Genomic DNA, 17,658 nt, shown 5'->3' on the forward strand with positions numbered 1-17,658 from the left:
AGAGAACTCAAAGGTAAGTGTGGTTGCAAGGAAAGAAACCGGGAATCCAGTGGTTGCCGCTAGCTTCATTCAATGTATAGATCCAGATTATTACATATTATCTGAATTAAACAATTTTACTTTAGAGAGATCATGCAGGTTCTGTGTTTGAGGAAATCTTACGGTTGCTTATAAAGGAAATCATTGCCCCAAAATTCTGGATTTCAACTAATCTGATCTGCTTAAAGCATGACACCTGCATACTTGCTAACTTATTTTTTGAGAATAGAGAGTTAGATCAGGAATAGGATTCAGTCCTTAGAATGCAGAGCTTATAATTTTAGAAAGGTATGTATTTTATTTAGGCCAGGTATTTTTACTGTTAATATATTTACTGTTTTATCTAGAATGTTGACTCTGTTATGATTGAGTCAGTTGCCCCTTCCCCACTTCCTCTTTCCTCTGTGTATTTATTGCACACTGACTAAGTGTCTGGTGTGACAGCAGGTGCTGCGGTCATGAGGGTGACTAGTTAGACATGGTTTCTGCCTTCATGGAGCTTACAGTCTGGTGGGAGGGATGGACAAAGGAAGCACAGAACTGGACACCATGCATTTTCTCCTCTGACATCAGAGCCAAACTGGAAGATCCTGAAAATAATTCTATTGCATGTCCCTTGGAGATATTAACACATTGCTCAGTGATGTTGATTGTTAAAATATCCTCTTGTTTGGAATTGTTATCACAGTGGCTCCTCTGGCGGTAGCATGCTTATAAAAGCAACCAGGAACTGCCCATGTGCCCAGTCTAGGCTCCTGACTCCCACAGATGCCTCTGGGGCTGGGGCCCGGCTAAATATTTTCCAGGAGAAAAGTCAGTCAGGAGCCAGCGCCTGCCATTTCCCATTCTTTCAGAGCCAAGGAGCTGGACGGGCATCTGACAGCCTGGAAGGGCCCTGCTCCAATCTGGAACTGAGGTTAACGCTTCAGGTCAGCTACTTCCTAAGGGAAGGAAAAATCCCTCCCAGGGATTTTTTTACTTTGAGCTTTCTCTGGTGCTGCTTGTTGCTGGCCTTCAGATTTTGGCCACCACTATCTTCGGGTACTATTTTCTCTGCCTCCCTTGGAGAGGTGACCTTCCCCTTCTGTGCAGGGCCCTGTCTGTCCCATGTGGTCTTCCAGGGCTGGGGTGAGGAGGAGGCGGCGAGATTATTGCCTGTTACACATGGACATCTAGACGGGGGAAGAAACATAACAGCTTTATTTTTAGGCTTTGCTAATTCTCACTCTTCTCCTAGTTCGCTGCTACCTGGCAACAGCTTATTGTCATGGCAACACCGATGTTAATGAGTGAAACTCTCAGTGTGTCTGCTCTCCTGGTGCTCTGACAGACACCGTGTGGAGCTATCTTTCTGGCCATCAGAGGCTAAACGCTAGGCTTCCTTCCCCTCTGCAGGCCTCCCAGGCCCCGGGCCCCGTCCACAGAGGGAAGGCACGGAGGCAGCGTTGACAAGGGATTTATGGCTCTGCTTACACATTCCCAGCTTCTCCTCTCTTCACGGATGGGCTGCTGCTCTCGCACTGCCCCTCCTCCCGCAGTCCATCCGTCCACATTTTTAAGCGGTAGCTGTAGCCCATTTTCTCATGTCTAGGGCACCTCAAGATTTGAGCCGGTTTTTACAGCACCTTCTCTGCAGTTGATCAGCAGGGCTGAATCGCGAGTTTGGGAGAGGAGATTTGTGGCTGGAACTGGCGCTCACATTGGGGAGGGAAGACCTGCACCTTCAGCTCTTAGGCTGAGAGTCAGTAACACCACCATAGCTTCTTGTCTTGCTTCTCTGACATCTGTCCCTCAAGGGTGCCTTTGCAGCATTACAATAATTGTGAGGAAGAGCAGGCAGAGTCTGCTCCAGCCTCCTTGTGCCTCAGTTTGTCCATCTCTAAAGCAGCGCATATCTGAAATTGGATGGTCCTTAAGTTGGCGCTGCTGAGGAGGGGTTCATGTGAAGTGCTCTGGGCTCCTGCTCACCATTTCTATGATGTGGGTAACTTGCTCGACCCCTCTGTGACTCCACTTCTCACTTGTAAATAAGGATAGTAATAGTACCTACCTCAGAGTGTCATTGCAGGACTCCAACCAGATACATATGTGTCCGGGGCTTATAATAAAATCATGGTTCAATAAATCTTAGTTCTTACTACGTGTGGTCATTATTCAGTCTTCACACTGATCTCGTGAACTAGGACTATTATTCTTGAATTACAAAGAAGGAAACTGAAGCATGGAGAGGTTGAGCAACTGCCAAGGTCGCTGGAAGCAACATGAAGCCTAGGCGTGCCCTGAGTCACCACACTGCACATTGCAAGGTGAGCCTGAAGGGGATGGCCCTGTATGCCCTCAGTGACTTCTCCCTGCTCCGGGGAGGTGGGCCCGGGACCCCAGGAGTGTGCCTGAGGACCTTGCACTCCTTGGATAAGAGGTGTCACCGCCAGCCCCCTTCCTGTCTTCCCTGTAGGCCCAGCACTCATTCACAGGCAGACACTTCTAGTTAGCGCACATGGTTGATGGACATGTGAGGTTCCTTTGACCCCATCCCTTCTAGTCTATGCTTCTGCTTCTTTATCTAGAAAATGTGCAGCCATGTCTCATCCCCGCCAAAAGAGGTACTCAAGAAGAGAGAAGAGGAGTGTTCAGTGTCTTCTCCCCACGTCCCCTTTCCCCCAGCGAGGCACAGGGGCTCTCTCTGGGTTTGGACTGGAGCACCTCATGGGTGTGAAGTCGGGAGGAGCCGGAGGCAGTGAGGACCTGCATTGCAGCGGGTGTGTCGGAGGGCTCAGCAAACGTGTGCTGCATGAGATGGGGAAACGAAGCCATGTTTGCCGGCATATCTGGGGTTCCCTGGTCACTGAGACATCAGAGACATGTCAATCTGAGTCCCTTTGCTTGGATTTAATCTGCTATTTGTGGGTGTTCTGTTGCATTCAGTGGGGCTTCAGTCTTCATTTTCCTTGTCCTTTGCACTTCCTCATCATTCCCTTTCTGCGAGCTTGCCCACTTGCTAGGATGGATCCTGGTCAGTGGATCAGGTGGTGGTGCTGAGGGCTCTGTTACCCTGATGGCTTGCCAGCTTGCAGGGCCCAGCATGCCTGTGAGGGCAAAAGGGTTCTGAGTGGGGCCTGTTCCTCTGGGTGGGATGCGCTCTCCCTCCTCCTAGGCTTGGTTCCTCTCCTTCCTCGGGGCCTGATTCCTCCAGCTCATGCTCTGTCTTTCCTCAGAGCTCCTACCACAGTCCCTGTCCCCCACACCGTTAACACTTTTACATCAGCATTGCACATGGACATAAAGGGGCACTGCAGCCAGTCCCCTGTGGAGGATCAGGATGTCCCAGCCCTTCAGGGACAGGCTCCAGGGTAGGCCTGGCAGAGGGAAGGACCATGTTCTCTCCCAAACAGGCCAGTCCTTGGAGCTGCTGCCATGGCTTCAGCTTCCAGTACCCTGTTTGGAGGGCTCTTTGCAAAGAGGCAGAAGAGCCCCAAGGTGAGTTGAAGGGCCCTGGAGCCCCAGGCCTGCCTGCCTGGGGAGCAGCTGATGGCGAATCTGTGTCCTAGAACACGCCCTGCTGCCACCAGTGTGACATCAGCCGTGGTTGTGAAATTTCTGACAAAGATGCTGGGAACTCATCCTGTTCTCGAAGTCACCATGCCGCCCATCAGTTGACATGCTCTGTTGTCAAGAACACAAGAACCAGAGAGAAAGCACACTCAGCAGAGATGTGTCCTAGGGTGTTAGAGGAAGGAACCCCATCACAAAAGAAAATTAGCAAAGACAGAACTGGGCAAAACCACCAGAGGTCCCTGGGGCACGCCAATTAACTAGCTGGGAGTCTTGGGCAAGAGCGAGGGGAGGCCAGGGCTTAGGGATGAAATGTGAGGATGGGGAGGGGCCTCTTGAGCTGGCTCAGTGCCTCAGTCGGGCACTGGATATGGACTGGGACCACATCTTCTGGCCCCTCTTATTGTCCCTACTGCCTTGAAAGGACTAGATTATAATTACCTGAAGGACTGAGTAGGCCTAGAAATACTTCCCTAACTGCTTACTCATATCAACATTCCTTCCAAGAAAGAAGCAGGCACGCAGTCCACAATTAGAGATAAAAGGCTTCAACTGGAGGAGGTAAGGCCGTGGAGCGAATGTTTCAGTTGGAATGCAATCAGTCAAACAACTAGGGCAATTGACTGGTTATCAAACCCTCCTGGGTTTTGATGGGAGGAAAGAAGAGGAATTACTCATAAGGCAGAGTTTTCTTAAATAAAGAGAAGGGCCCCCCAGAAGAAGAGGCTTCAGGACACTGATTCTTACTCTTGTCTGTACAGTAGAATAATCTGGGCAGCCTTTTAAAAATACTCAATTCCTCTGCCTCAACTCAGAGGAGTTCTGATTCAGTGGCCTTCATAGGGCTGGGACATCAGTATTTTTTGAAAGCACCCCCAGGTGATTCTAATAGGCAGCCAGGGTTGAGAACCACTGGTTTAGAGGTGTTTAAAGACAGAAGGCAAAATGTGTAGACTCCAGCACAGAATTTGCTGTTTTCCAGGCTGAGACCAATAGAAAGCATATCCTGATTTTAATTCACAGCGGCACATTCTAAAAGTATACTCCAGGATTTAAAAAGTCTAGGGGCTTTTGGAAATATTTGTTTGCCCATGTTCATATCAACATTATTTGTAATGGCCAAAAAGCAGATGCAATCCAAGTATTCATTCGTGGATAAATGGATAAACAGGATGTGGTATATACATACAGTGGAATATCATTCGGCCTTAAAAAGGAAGGAGATCCTGATACATGCTACAACATGGATGAACCTTGAGAACATTATGCTAAATAAAATAAGCCAGACACAAAAGGAGAAATATGGTATGATTCCACTTATGTGAGGTACCCAGAATAGACAAATTTATAGAGACAGAAGTAGAATGGTGGTTGCCAGGGGCTGGTGCAGGGGGAAGTGCGGAGCTGTTGTTTAATGGGTTCAGGATTTCAGATTTTCAGGAATAGCAAAGTGTTCTGGAGATGGATGGAGGTGATGGTTAAACAACAATGTAAATGTTTTTAATGCTACTAAATTGTACACTTAAAAATGGTTAAGATTGTAAAATTTATGTTACATGTATATATTTTACCACAACCTAAAAAATTAATTTCAGATTAATAAGAATCATCTATTTTAATATTTGAGAAAAACAGAAATGTATAAAGGAGAAAATTTCAAAATTACCACTTGATATCTAGATGTATTCTTTCTCTGCATGTGCTTAATCATGCAAATACATACACACATTGAATCTTACTTTCTATGATGGCTTGCAGTCTGGGTTTTCATTTGTACTTGATTTGGTTTAATCCTTATTTCTTGACAGAGATGGTTCCATCTCAAGGGTGGAGTAAGTGAGGTGACATAGTAGGTGGGCATCCTAACATATCCGTATATTCAGCTTTGGAATCAGACACTACTGGGTTCAAATTTGCACCTGTCATGTTCACGATCGGTGTGACCTTGGGCCTCATTCTGAGCCTAAGTGTCCTTATTTCAGACTTGTTTGGGAAGTTAAAGATAACTTAGGTGCCAGGTCCCTGCTCAGGCCGTCGGGAAATGGGAGCTGTAACTGCAGAGTCACCGGAGACTTCCACGGACACTTTTACGTACTTGAGATAGATATTCAGTCTCCACTTCTACCCGTCTAACTTAGGAGAGAGCTTCGGAGAAGCCCTGATCTGAGATTCAGGAAGTCGCCAGGGCTGCCACATGGTGCTGTGACCTTGGCAACACCAGATTCTTTCTCGGTCTCTGTTACTACATTTACAAAGTGAACACATTGGGTTTTGGGGTCTCTGGGCTCCTCCCACGTCCCTACTCTAGCATCCTTTGCCTCTCCGTAGCCTCTCACTCCCTGAGATGCAGGGCCCTCAGTGGATGTCCAGTAAATGTTTATTGACAACGCGTCTCCTGCAGGTTAATCATCAACAACATGCAACAATATCCCAGATATGACCGGCTCCCTCCAAAGAGAGAAACCTGCTTTATGGCAAACTCATTGACTTTTCTTCAGGAAGAAAATTTCTGCTGGTGCAGCACCATATTCTGCAGGAGTTTGGATAGGGTGTGCTGGAAAGACAGGGATATTTTTCCCTAAAGGCAGTGCATAGGGGCAGAGGGGCAAAACTCCCTTTTTTATTCCTGTAGTGCTTGTACTGGGGCAGAGGAAGCAGATGCATTACCAAGAGCGTGGAAAGAAGTCCTACGTCCAGCCTAGAGCTCAGCGCATCTTTCAGCTGCCAAATGGAAGGTCTCTCTGTGGCAATGCTGGGGAGGGAAATTGAGTTAGGATGGCTTGTTCCAAATAAAATGCTATATTTAATTTCACTCTGGGAAACATTTGATGTCCGGGCTACTGTAATACGTGAAATAGATTTAAGAAGATCCTTTTTTTGTTAGAACAACAGAAAATACAAAACAGGGAGGTTCTCAGATCAGTTGCAGGTTGCACGTAGGGGTCTGATCATTTCAGTGTGGTTTTTAAGCATCTGGCAGCTGCTGGCCAACGGTTGACTAGTCAGTATCTAGCAGCCTGAGTGTCACTGTATGCGTTGAATCTGTCTCAGTAGTTCAGCCTCTGAAATGCCTTTCAAGTTAAGCCAAGGCATTCGGCACAGGAATGGGAAACTGTCAGTTTGTAAATCTGGGATGTGTATTTGTGTGCTTGACATGTGGAAGGGAAGGGTTGAGTATGAACCAATGCTGAGTTAGATCAACAAATATGTATCTGACTATATGATCTAAAAATCAGCCAGGTAGAGTTCCATCTCCAGAACTGCTGTCCCTTTTATGATGGTCATAAGCGCCATGGCTGCTGGACGCTTCTCTCCCTTTGTGGAGCTCTGCCCTGGTGCATTTCTGGGCTAACTGGCCATGCAGGGATTTGGGGAAGGAGCTCACAGACCTACTTTACTTTTCACATTGTTCCTATCCCTTCAGGCTTCTGCCTGTTTCCTTCTTGACTCCTGTTACTTTTTAGTGTGAGGTCAGAAAAAGCTCTTCTCCCCTCTTCTGCCTTCATTCATTTACCATTCAGAGGACCTCACTGAAGTGGAGAGACCAACAGATAGGGCTGCCAACTCAACCCTGGAAATGCTCTTTTCTTATTTTACCTGGCCATCTAGAAACCAAGTGTTTTATTTTTTTGTCCATTTATTTAAAAAAACTACAGAATGAAGTATTTTTGGGGACTGTGCCACTCTTTCGGGCTGTAAGTAGAAAAGAACAAATATATCCTTGTCCAGCTTTTCCTGTTAGACCCTCAGAGGAAGAAGCTCCAGCCCGTAACCTGTGAGGCTTTATTCCTTGGTGATGATGTGAATTAGAGAGAAAAGCTAATCTTTTTGAATGACTATGAAAGTTTCTCTGTGGAGCATCTGAAACCCTGGAAACACTTGCTTTCACGAACACTGAGTGCACCCTTATATGTGGAAAGAATTTCAGAGGCCAGGTATCAGGAGAGGCCCTGGGAGAGTAAGGAAATACAAGCAGCCTTTTGGCCTGGGATCTGGAGGCCTGGAGTCTGGAGGCCTGGTGACCTAGGCAGTGGAGGGCCCAGGAGGGAGGCTTTCCTTGAAGAGCACTCTATGATGTTGGTTCAGCTCTCTGACATTGAATTTGTCATGAGAACCCAAGCTGCTTTCCATGATAGAAAGGATTTCCTCCTCCTCAGATGCTGAGGGAAATGGTTCTTTGCATCCTGCATCCAGAATCAGCACAAGACGGTGGAAGTGGTCAGGGACCAGCATCTGGGCTCCCCTGTTCTCCAACTGGCAGTGCTGTGGGGTCCCTGGGCAATTGTACAGAAAGCATGTATATAGAGTCAGATAGATATGTGCTGGAATACTGACACAATTCAAAGCTCCCTCTGCTCAACTCCTTTGAGCTGAGCTTAATCCATAGCTCTCTGAACCTCAGTTTCATTATCTGTAAGAGTGGGAATGATGATACTGCAGAGTTGTGAGGCCTGTGCATGCTAACGCATGTGATACACCAGCTACAGTGCTGGCTCCCTGGTAAGGCTCAGGCATGGGGAACTGGTACAAGCATTACCTCTGCCCTCCCATGAGACAGGGGGTGCTGATATTTGGTGTGAAGAGGTGCTGACACTAGATGTGAAGGGGTGCTGATACTAGGTGTGAAGGGGTGCTGATACTAGGTGTGAAGGGGTGCTGATACTAGGTTGGGTTCTCCTAGATCAGTCTGATGTAGGAGAGCCATCTTCAGCTGGAGCTTTGGGATCTGTAGTTACTGACCAGTCTTGACTCACCATTGTTTGTGGTGTCTCTTGTCTTTTTTCACTTGTTTCCGGAAGGCAGCTGGTGGTAAGTTTTACATTAGTTTTAGCTTGAGTATTATGCTTGGTTAGCGCAATACTAAAATTATTTCCTTTTTCCTGTGCATTCATCTATTCAACATGTATTTATCGAGGATGAACTATATGCGAGGCACTTTGACAGGCACTGATGATGCTGTGCTTGGCGCTGAGCGAGAGTTTACATTCTCTGTGCATATGAGGGCAAGAAGAGAAGAGAGAGAAAATTTAAGATGTAAGCAAATAAATGAGAGAGCTTCATATTATGGTAGGTGCTATGAAAAAGAAATCAAAGAGAAACAAGCAGAGTTTTGTGGTAACATGACTGTGGGTGGGGGTTACTTTAAGCTGTTGGTCAGGGAGGTCCCCTCTGGGACCTGGAAGACAAGAAGGAGCTAGGCTTGCAAAGAAAGAGAGGAAGAGCCTTCCGGGGGATGGCATAGCAAGTACAAAGGCCCAGAGGCAGGACAACCTTGGCATGTGTCAGAAACAGAAGAGCAAGGCTGGCACACAGTGAATGACCAGGCGGGTGCAGGTGAACTGGTCAAAGGGTTGGCGGTGTGGGGAGAGGGAGTGCTAGATCATGACTGGTAGGGAGGGTGACGTGTCTTTTTTATTTTTAGAATACCATCATTCTGCCTGTGGATTAGAAAAGGGAGTTGGGAGGGAATGAGAAACTGGTTGGGAGGCCAGTTGGGTAGGAGAATAGAGGCTGGGACCAGGTGCCAGCAGTGGAGGTGAGATGAATGGACAGAATTTGGCCAGTGGGATGAATGCAAGTGCCTGGGAGGCAGAGTTGCCAGGGCCTGCTGGGCAGTTGGGCAAGGAGGCCTCAAAGGATGCCAGGCAGTTTGTTCAGAATAAACATCAACAGTGAAAGTCTTGTCAAGAGTGTTGGGAAGTTGGACATTTTTAGATACAGCTGATGGCAGTGCAGAAGTTCCACTCACCTTGGAGGGTCATTTGACAAAATGTTCAAAGGCTTCAAAATGCTCATTTCTTTTGGTTCAGCAAGTCCATAGGATTTTATCCTACAGAAACAGTCAGAAATACACAAGGATTACTTACAAGTGTGTTCATTGTAGTCTTATTTGTAATGGAGCTAAACCTGGGATAATTTCTCTCCTCTATTAATCACCAGAGGGCTGGGTAACTAAGTTAGGATGCGTCCATATGATGGAACACCATGTAGCCATTCAAATGATAACCTAGAAGGACAGTTAATGGCACATAAAGATGTTCAACTGCACTGCTAAATGAACAAACATAGAAAGTTATCTACAATATGATCCCAAATTTTATAAGATATATAACCTCTATTTACATCTCATATGAGTGTAGACAGGATATACTATACCCTGGAAGGTATAATAGGTATACATTAGAGTGTTAATGATAAGCCAATTCAGGGAACAAAATTACAAATTATTTTATTTCATTCTCTATTTATGATTCTTCTAAATTTTCTAACATAAACATTTGAAATAAAAACTTAAAAAAAGCCCTGTTATTTGAAAAAACTTGTGATGTCTTACCATGTCCAAGTATAAACTGAAAAGTGAATAAATCAGTGGGCTGGTGGCCCTTCTTAATACACTGCCATACATAGGACAACCATTTGTATTCAGAAAGTTTGTGTTGAGTAAGTCACTGGATTTGAGTCAGAAGACTTGGAGTTGGAGTCCCAGCTCAGCCATTCACTGGCTTTGTGATCTTGAACACGACGCTTAACCTCTAATGCACAGACTCTTGGCTGCTTCAATTTGCAGTGGGAATGAATGGTGATAACAAGAACAAGAATAATGCTTTCACGGAGTTGTGAGGATTCAGTGATAGGGAATTAGAAAATATTTTGTAAGAGGAAAACCACAATGTAAATATTAATATTTCAGGGCCCAAGTCTTTGACATGGACGTGACTATGGGCACCAATAGATTTTTGGATGGATCATTTATGGTACCCTGTCGTGCCCTTTAGTACACCTTTGCCTGGTGTACATCTCATGCAACCAAATGGCCAGCTCACGTCTGATCCCAAGCCCTGAATTAAGTGAGCAATCTGAACATGAGGGACAATGAGTTGTCCTGAGTGGCAGGCGGCTCTCAAGTGAGGAGTGCTTTCTCATTCACTGGAAAACTGTAAGTGAAATGCTGCTTCAGCAGCCACACCCAGAGCCCCTTTGATACATGGTTCAGCTGTTCTGTTACATAAACCTATTGGAAATGAACCTGCAAAGGAGTTGAGCAGAGGGAGGTGCCCATTGGAATAAGGACAAAGGAGAAATGCACTACCTCTCCATTTAAAGGAGACATTTGCTTTTTAATGGACCCTAAACACTGGGATCTGAAATGTCACAATCTTTACATACTGGAATGGACACGCACATAAATGCTGATGAACAGCTCAGCAGGCACTTAATTTTTAAATCCTTGATTGTTCAAGGACAGGGATATCCTACTTGGCTCTGCAAGACTCATAGCATACTGGACAATGTTGTCTGCATCGGAATGTCTTACTGGGGAGTCACACCTCCAAAAAGAAGCTGTGTGGTGAATGGGTCCAAACATAAGGGTTTGAGCCCCTGTTTTCAGCTGGGATTTTTGGGTAAAGGGAGATGAAGCAGCCAGGTCTAACCAACTGCAGAGGTTTATTTCTTGGGGACTCCCAGCTCCATTGAGGTGTAGAAAATATAGCACATACCAGTTACCAACAAGGATACCTGTTCCTGGATGGAACTGCCTGGTTGGAAAGAATGCTGGTGGTCAGTAGTGCCTTCTGATCCTAAGAAGAGGACCCTAACCTGGCCATTTTGAATAAGGGCCCCATAGCTGCTGATTAAGTGTGTCAATAGTGGGTTCCTTGTGATGTAACATTCATCGTCCTTCCTGTGGTGGATGACCCTACAGACCCACCTGCTGATAAGCTAAGCTGCTTGCTTAAGGCCATAAAGCTACAGAGGTATTAATCTAGAGTTTGAATCGGATCTCTCTGACTCTAAGACTCCTGCTCTGAAGTCCTCCATTATCCTTCCTCTTATAGAGTTGTTTTGCCAGTGCTATTGGATTTGAATTCAATTGTACCCTACGTACATTAGAATGAAAATGTTATACATCGTAGAAAATGAATAAATCATGGTTCCATCCCTCAAGAAACTTATATGTATTATTATTTAAGAGTTTGAAGTGCATAGCAAGAGCTCAATAAATAATTATTGAGTAAATGATAATACACAAATATATTCTAGTTTATTTATAGATATCCATAACCCCAATCAGATTATGATGCATCTCATAAAAGGTGCACACACAAAATCCCATCGGAGTTTAAAGACGGGAGAGAATACCTCTGGAGAAATCAGGAAAATAAAAGTTGGATGTATCATTTGAGATGGGTCTTAAAGACCTGTAAACACTCTGACAGGTAGAGATGGTGAGGCTTGGTTCCCACCCTGAACCTCCTGCCTGCTGATTGGTTCCTGCAGTAGACCCTAGGTGCCCTGGTTTGTTTCTGCTTTGTAATTCCACTTCTTAATGATATCAACAACTGGGAGCTGGGAAATGAAGTTTTTATTCTGATAAACCTGACTTGCCACAAGAGGCCTACAAGAGAAAGTATGATTTCTGGTCTCCTCTCCACCGTCTCCGATATGCAAACGAGTCACACATCTGTATCTTCATTCTAGAGCTCTCTTTTGAACTGCTAATCCCCCTGGCGGAGCCTCTGATCCTGGTTATCCAGCATTCTTCTAGATTTAAGGTTGAAACATGATTTAAGGTCATGAATGCATGACCTTCCCAGACTCCCTTGTACATGAGCTCCCACATTCCCAGCCCCTGTTCTGCTCCACCCCTTGTGGTGATAGCCAGGGTGGTCAGCTGCATTGCATGTTAGTAGTAAGGGAAGAATGGGGTGGTGGGTCCAGAGTTGTGTGTTATAAGATGACTTTGGAGGTCAGGCTGTTGTTTTGGCTCACTTTGGGATTTTGGGGAGTAGCTTACTTTGCCATCAATTTCCTGATGAAGAAAAGGCAACTTAGCATTCTTCGTATAAGTAAACAGGTCAGTGTTGGAGATAATTACATCATGAAGCACCGTGGGTCCCAGAGGTGGGAGGCCTCATGTAAGTACTACTGTGCTATTGCCATCATTGTCTGGAGGGGATGATAATGTCGTATTTGCTTGCAAAATGGTTTTCTGATGTTGGGTTGAAAGAGACGGTTATGTACCTTAGCCAACTGTTAGGGCTGTTTTTCTTCTAGCACAATTTATAAAGTGATTTTTGTCACACCCAAATTTTTGCAGGACCGCAGAACTCAGACATTTAAGGTTGTGGCTTTTCAGAATGGATGAATAAACGTTCGCACTCTAAACTTAAGAGTGTGAAGGCTTGTCAAGGCTCCATTTCTGGTTTGCTTTCTGATCTCATGCAAGTCACTTCACCTCTCTGCTTTTTGTTTTTCCATCTGTGAGACATTGCTCACTTTGCCAGGATATCTTCAATATGAAGAAGATAATGTGTGGAACGCTGTCAGCTGCTGCATCATTAAAAAGCATTTATTCAGCACTTATGTAGCATTGCACAAAGAGAATTATAAAGACTAGATCCCTGCCTTGTCTGCTAGGTTATATTCTAATATCTTCTTAAAAAGGCAGAAACTAGGCAACTAAAGAGAGCAATAATTCAAATGTTATCTTTTAAGCTACACAAATAACAGTAGCATAAATAATTAACAAGCACCAATACGCAAAGAAATCAGTTATCAAGAATACACAGAAATAGTTATCAAAAATACATAGATAAAATTATCAGAAATTTCTCAACTTTCTGGAGCCAAGTCATGCAAGAACCTGGTTTTATGTAAATGAAATTGCGATACTGCCCCCTGGAACCTGAGCAAGAAGAAGATCCTAGTGGGCGGAGTGGGGAGGGAAAGTGTTCTGGAGAGTTTTACTTGGGATTCTGGTATTTGGGTTTCTGTCACTGTCTCTTCTCCCTCCAAAGTCAACTAATACTCAGACATTAAGGCTTAAGACCCTGTTAAGGGGAAAGGTCTATGCTTTAGAGAGGATGCTGTAGAGTGGTAGGCAACCATCATTCCTCTTGTGAATATTGTGGTCATTGCATTATGGGCCTTCATTGAATTATGAACCATCATGAGGATGAGATCCAAACCAAGCTGGATGGAAACCACATGGATGAGGCCCCAGAGAGTGAGGACGCCATACAAATGTAATCACTGAGCTGTCTGAATCATCTTGAGAAAATTCTACAAGTCTGTATACATCTGACTTCCCCATCAGTTACACACTTTGAAAGGAAAGCTCTAGGGAGAAGAGTACCATTTGCTTCCCCAATGCTAGGAGAGGAAGGTGATGAGACCGAGATTACTAACTAAATTATTTCCTGTGACTTCTTAGAAAAGCTGAACTCCCAAGGTATGCCGCTTGGATATGGGGACGCGCACACACACACACACACACACACACACACACACACACACACACACACAGTTTTCTTCATACAGGGGTAGTAAAACCTGTCAGGAAATTAATTAAATTAGCTATTATTTGTGTTTCTCTTATAGTTTACAGCATCCTTTCACTGATTTGATCTCATTTGACATAAAAAGACTAGCTGTCAAGGTAGGTGAGACTAAGATTAATCATCCCCATTGTACATAAAAGGAAACCAAGACTCAGAGGTTAAATAACTTGGCCAAGGTCACACAACCAGTGTGAATCTGGCAGAGACCAGATTTAGATATTCACTGTAATACCCTGACTTTCTCTCTGGAAGATGGTCAGCAGTCTAAAGCCAATGTATTTAAATACCACCTATCACAAATTTTGCATACAAAGATTTCAAGCCCCATCTAGATACCTAGTTTTCCTCTCCATATCTCATGTTTTTAAATTACTATTTTGTGTCACCATAGTGCACAGCATGCTTAAGACCTGGCTTGCTGCTCTTAATAATTACATAGTGTCATTGTTTCCTCCACGGAGACTCACAGTGGAAGCTAGCAAGCCAGGAACTTGTCCTTCACTGCACTTGGGTCTTAAACAGCTACAAAATACACCGAGTTTGACTCCCATCTCCCTCCAGTTCTCGAGCTCTCTGCCTGTTGGTTTTCAGCACGAGTTTCAAGTATTCTTTCGGCAGGAGAAGGGCTCTTGAAAAATAGCCCATCACAGTGCAAATTCTTTTCTAATGAATGCGCTGGGCAGGCAATAAATCTGAAAGGGATGCATCTGAATCCCGGTCCAGGTGGAAGATGCTAAACTGGCCTAAGGTTTTCAAATATGCCTGTCCTTAGCCCACTTGCAGATATTGCTGCCGTTACTGCTGATGCCATGGCCTGTGTGGGGAGGCAGTCCTCACCAAGAACTCCCTCCACAACTGCTGGGTGATGGGGGGATTGCTGCATGCTTTCTCTGTTCCCTGCCCTCCCCTTTTTAGCTATTCCCCTCCTCTCTGAAATCATCCCCTCCTGACTTTAGTCCAGGATCTCCTTCCAGCTCCTCGCCTTCCTCTAACCAGGACCAACTTTCTGGAAAAATGGTTCTTGCACTTCAGTGTCAATTTTCCCCAAGAACATGAGCATTTCAAGCTTTGAGTGCTGATTCGGGAATTTATCCAGTCACAGGAGTTTCCCAGACAGACACTTCATTCTGTTGATTCAGAGTCATAGTGACTCTGTGATCAGAGGGACTTGAGTTTGAATCTCTATACCACCTTTGACTGACTTTTGGCAAGTTACCTAACCTTTCAGAGTCTGCCAAATGAAGACAATGCTATTGTCCTGTTAGAAGGATTAAATGATATCACATAAAGTACCTGGATGTGCTCAGCCTGTGGTGAATCATTATATGTCAGTTCCGTTTTTCTGTTTCTCTCCTGAAGAACTCACAAAGCCTCTTTATCTGTTCAAGGTCATTGGATGACTTGCTAAGAACTAGGCAGAAGCCAAAGGTCATTCTCCCATCAGTTATCACTCCTACTTGACAATACACCCCAGGTGTCAATTAGTTTTTGGTTTGACCTACTATATTTTACTGATTCTACTGATCCTAAGACATGTTTTCCCCTACATTTTCATTTCTCTAAAACTAAAGTGCAATCTAAACTAATAGGTTACACTTTAGTTGGCACCATTTTTTCTTTCTCATTGATACATAAAATAATGGGCACATCTTACAACTTACAACTTTGACTTGATGGACATATGGTAATTATTTTTAAACACCTGACTTTAAATTCCCTGAACTCAAATGGCAAACAACTGCCCTGACCTGGTGATTCTTGATGCAGTCTCTTCCCAGGTGCCTTGTGCTGGAGCGTCTGCAAGATGTCCTTAGGTGGTGGGCTGCCATCTGGATAAAGGGGCAGCAGGAAGAAGAGTTTCTGGGCTTCTGGGACACATGTGAATAGAGTGCAAATGACACTTAGGGTTGCATTCTTGTGTCAGAGTTCAGTTGGCTTGTGCAACCCCGCCCCTGTGTTTGGCCCCGAGATGTTTTCCCACACCTTACACAGGGAACTCCCTATCATGTAATATTCAAAGTGGGCTTTTCAACCAACATTTATTGAGTGCATACTGTGTATTAGGCCCTGTTAAGCACTTGACACGTGTATACTCTTTTAATTAATATGATTACTCCATAAAGTAGGTACTTCTTTATCTTACACAAACCCAGGCTTAGGAATTAACTTACTTGCCCAGGTCTTAAACTCAGATCTGTCTGGCTCCAAATGTCCTGATCTGAATCTCTCTGTCCTTCTGCTTCTCTCCAAGCCTGAGTTGGCAACTCTGCCTTACCTAGTGGCAATGACAAAACAGCATAGGAGTTAAGCCTGAGTTTTCGTTCTCCTAAGAATCTGGTTGACAAGGTATGTGCTAAAGAGGTAGGGGTAGCTTATAGAGTTTGTAGAAAAGGGGGGATGGAGAGGAGGAAAACCCAGTACAGATTTTGAGCCTTTCTGAGTGAATATTCAGCTCCTTTTCTCCAGGTACACTCATTCCATCATTTCATCTCTGGCACTGTGCCAGCATGGTTCCAGGGCCAGGGGTGACTCTGGCTACCTGGCATGAACAGTGCCCCACTTTTCCCATCTGTGACTTTTTCTGTCTTCTGCCTTGAATCAGATATGCCCCAGGTGCCAGGGAAAGAGGAGTATGTGCTTGATGGTCTGTCAAGTCAGGTAGAAAGAAAATTAACATCTCTAACAGTGAGTGATTGAGATGGAGTATTTTCCAGGAGCTAGAATATTATGTGTGTGTGTGTGCATATCTCCTGGAAAAACAGAGAGGAGGAGACGCTCCTGTAGCCTCAAGAGAGCTCAGTTTGGTAGTGAAGACAGCAGATGTATGGGCCCATTACTATTAGCGGGGCAAGTTCTTAGGGGTGTGAGAACCAAGAGAACGGTTGATTGGTGGAAAGAGCACAGGATTTGGAGTTCTGAAGAGCACGTTGAGCTTTGTCTTTTCCTTGCTGGCTCACTTGGGCAAGTTCCTTAAACTCCAAGCTTTAGTTTCAGTTTTATAATGTGGGTAGTCCATTTTTACCTCGGCCTCATTGAAAGAATTAATTAGACACTCAGAGTGCAGGCTTGATACAGGCCTCTTCCAGGGCCTGGGATGTATTAATTGCTGGTGCTCCCTCAGTGGCAGCCTTGATATGCACACCTAGGAATATATACATATGCGTTTGTATATGTGTGTATGGGTTTTAAAAGTCCGTCCTTCATTCATCAAATATTTATCGTGTATCTGTTCTAGGTGTCAGGGAGTTAGCAATAAATAAAACAGGCCTGAATCCCTGCCCACGGGGAGCTTACAATCTAGTAGAGAGACAATGAATAAAATAAGTTAAACACACTTTGTTGGGTGGCAGTAGGGGCTGTGGAGAAAGGTAAAGCAGGGGAATGGGGTGTGAGTGGAGGTTTACTTTTAAATAAGACGATGAGGGAAGGCCTCCGCAGGGGATGCCTGAGCACCATCTATGGGAATGAGGGGGTCAGCAGGGTAGACTGACATTCGAGAGGAACGCATTCCAGGCAGAGGGAATTGCAGTTACAGACACTGACAGACGAACGGCCTGGCAGGCTCAAGGGCGAGGGAGCGGCATGAGCAGGGTGGGCGCTGGTTGCAGGTGAGGGGTCCCGAGGCGGGCGGAGCAGGGCGTTGCAGGCCACGGTGAGCACGGCAGCTTTTGCCCGGAAGGAGGCCAGAGCCATTGCAGATTTTGAGCGGGTGTGGCGTGGTCTG

At 45.1% G+C, this 17,658-nt stretch overlaps 1 protein-coding gene and 1 long non-coding RNA gene across 56 annotated transcripts in view, besides 1 other annotated feature; one reads left to right on the forward strand and one right to left on the reverse strand.

The window, feature by feature from the left end:
* Positions 1-17,658, forward strand: part of CACNA1C (calcium voltage-gated channel subunit alpha1 C) — a 727,171-nt gene that overhangs the window by 241,495 nt on the left and 468,018 nt on the right. The gene's annotated exons all lie outside the window — the stretch shown is intronic.
* Positions 6,455-6,649: a silencer, noted in NCBI's record as "fragment chr12:2327895-2328089 (GRCh37/hg19 assembly coordinates)". NCBI's record gives its function as "represses an EF-1alpha promoter that drives an FKBP-Casp9 reporter gene in an ReSE screen in K562 erythroleukemia cells {active_cell/tissue: K562}" and the evidence as "EXISTENCE:reporter gene assay evidence [ECO:0000049][PMID:32094911]".
* CACNA1C-AS4 (CACNA1C antisense RNA 4) lies at positions 8,263-11,207 on the reverse strand. Its single transcript, NR_046578.1, has 4 exons — positions 11,091-11,207; positions 9,926-10,146; positions 9,341-9,421; positions 8,263-8,580 (listed from the first exon to the last, which is right to left on the reverse strand). It is a non-coding gene; the product is annotated as a CACNA1C antisense RNA 4 (long non-coding RNA).

This window comes from Homo sapiens, chromosome 12, assembly GCF_000001405.40.
Source record: "Homo sapiens chromosome 12, GRCh38.p14 Primary Assembly".
Taxonomy (NCBI): Eukaryota; Metazoa; Chordata; class Mammalia; order Primates; family Hominidae; genus Homo; species Homo sapiens.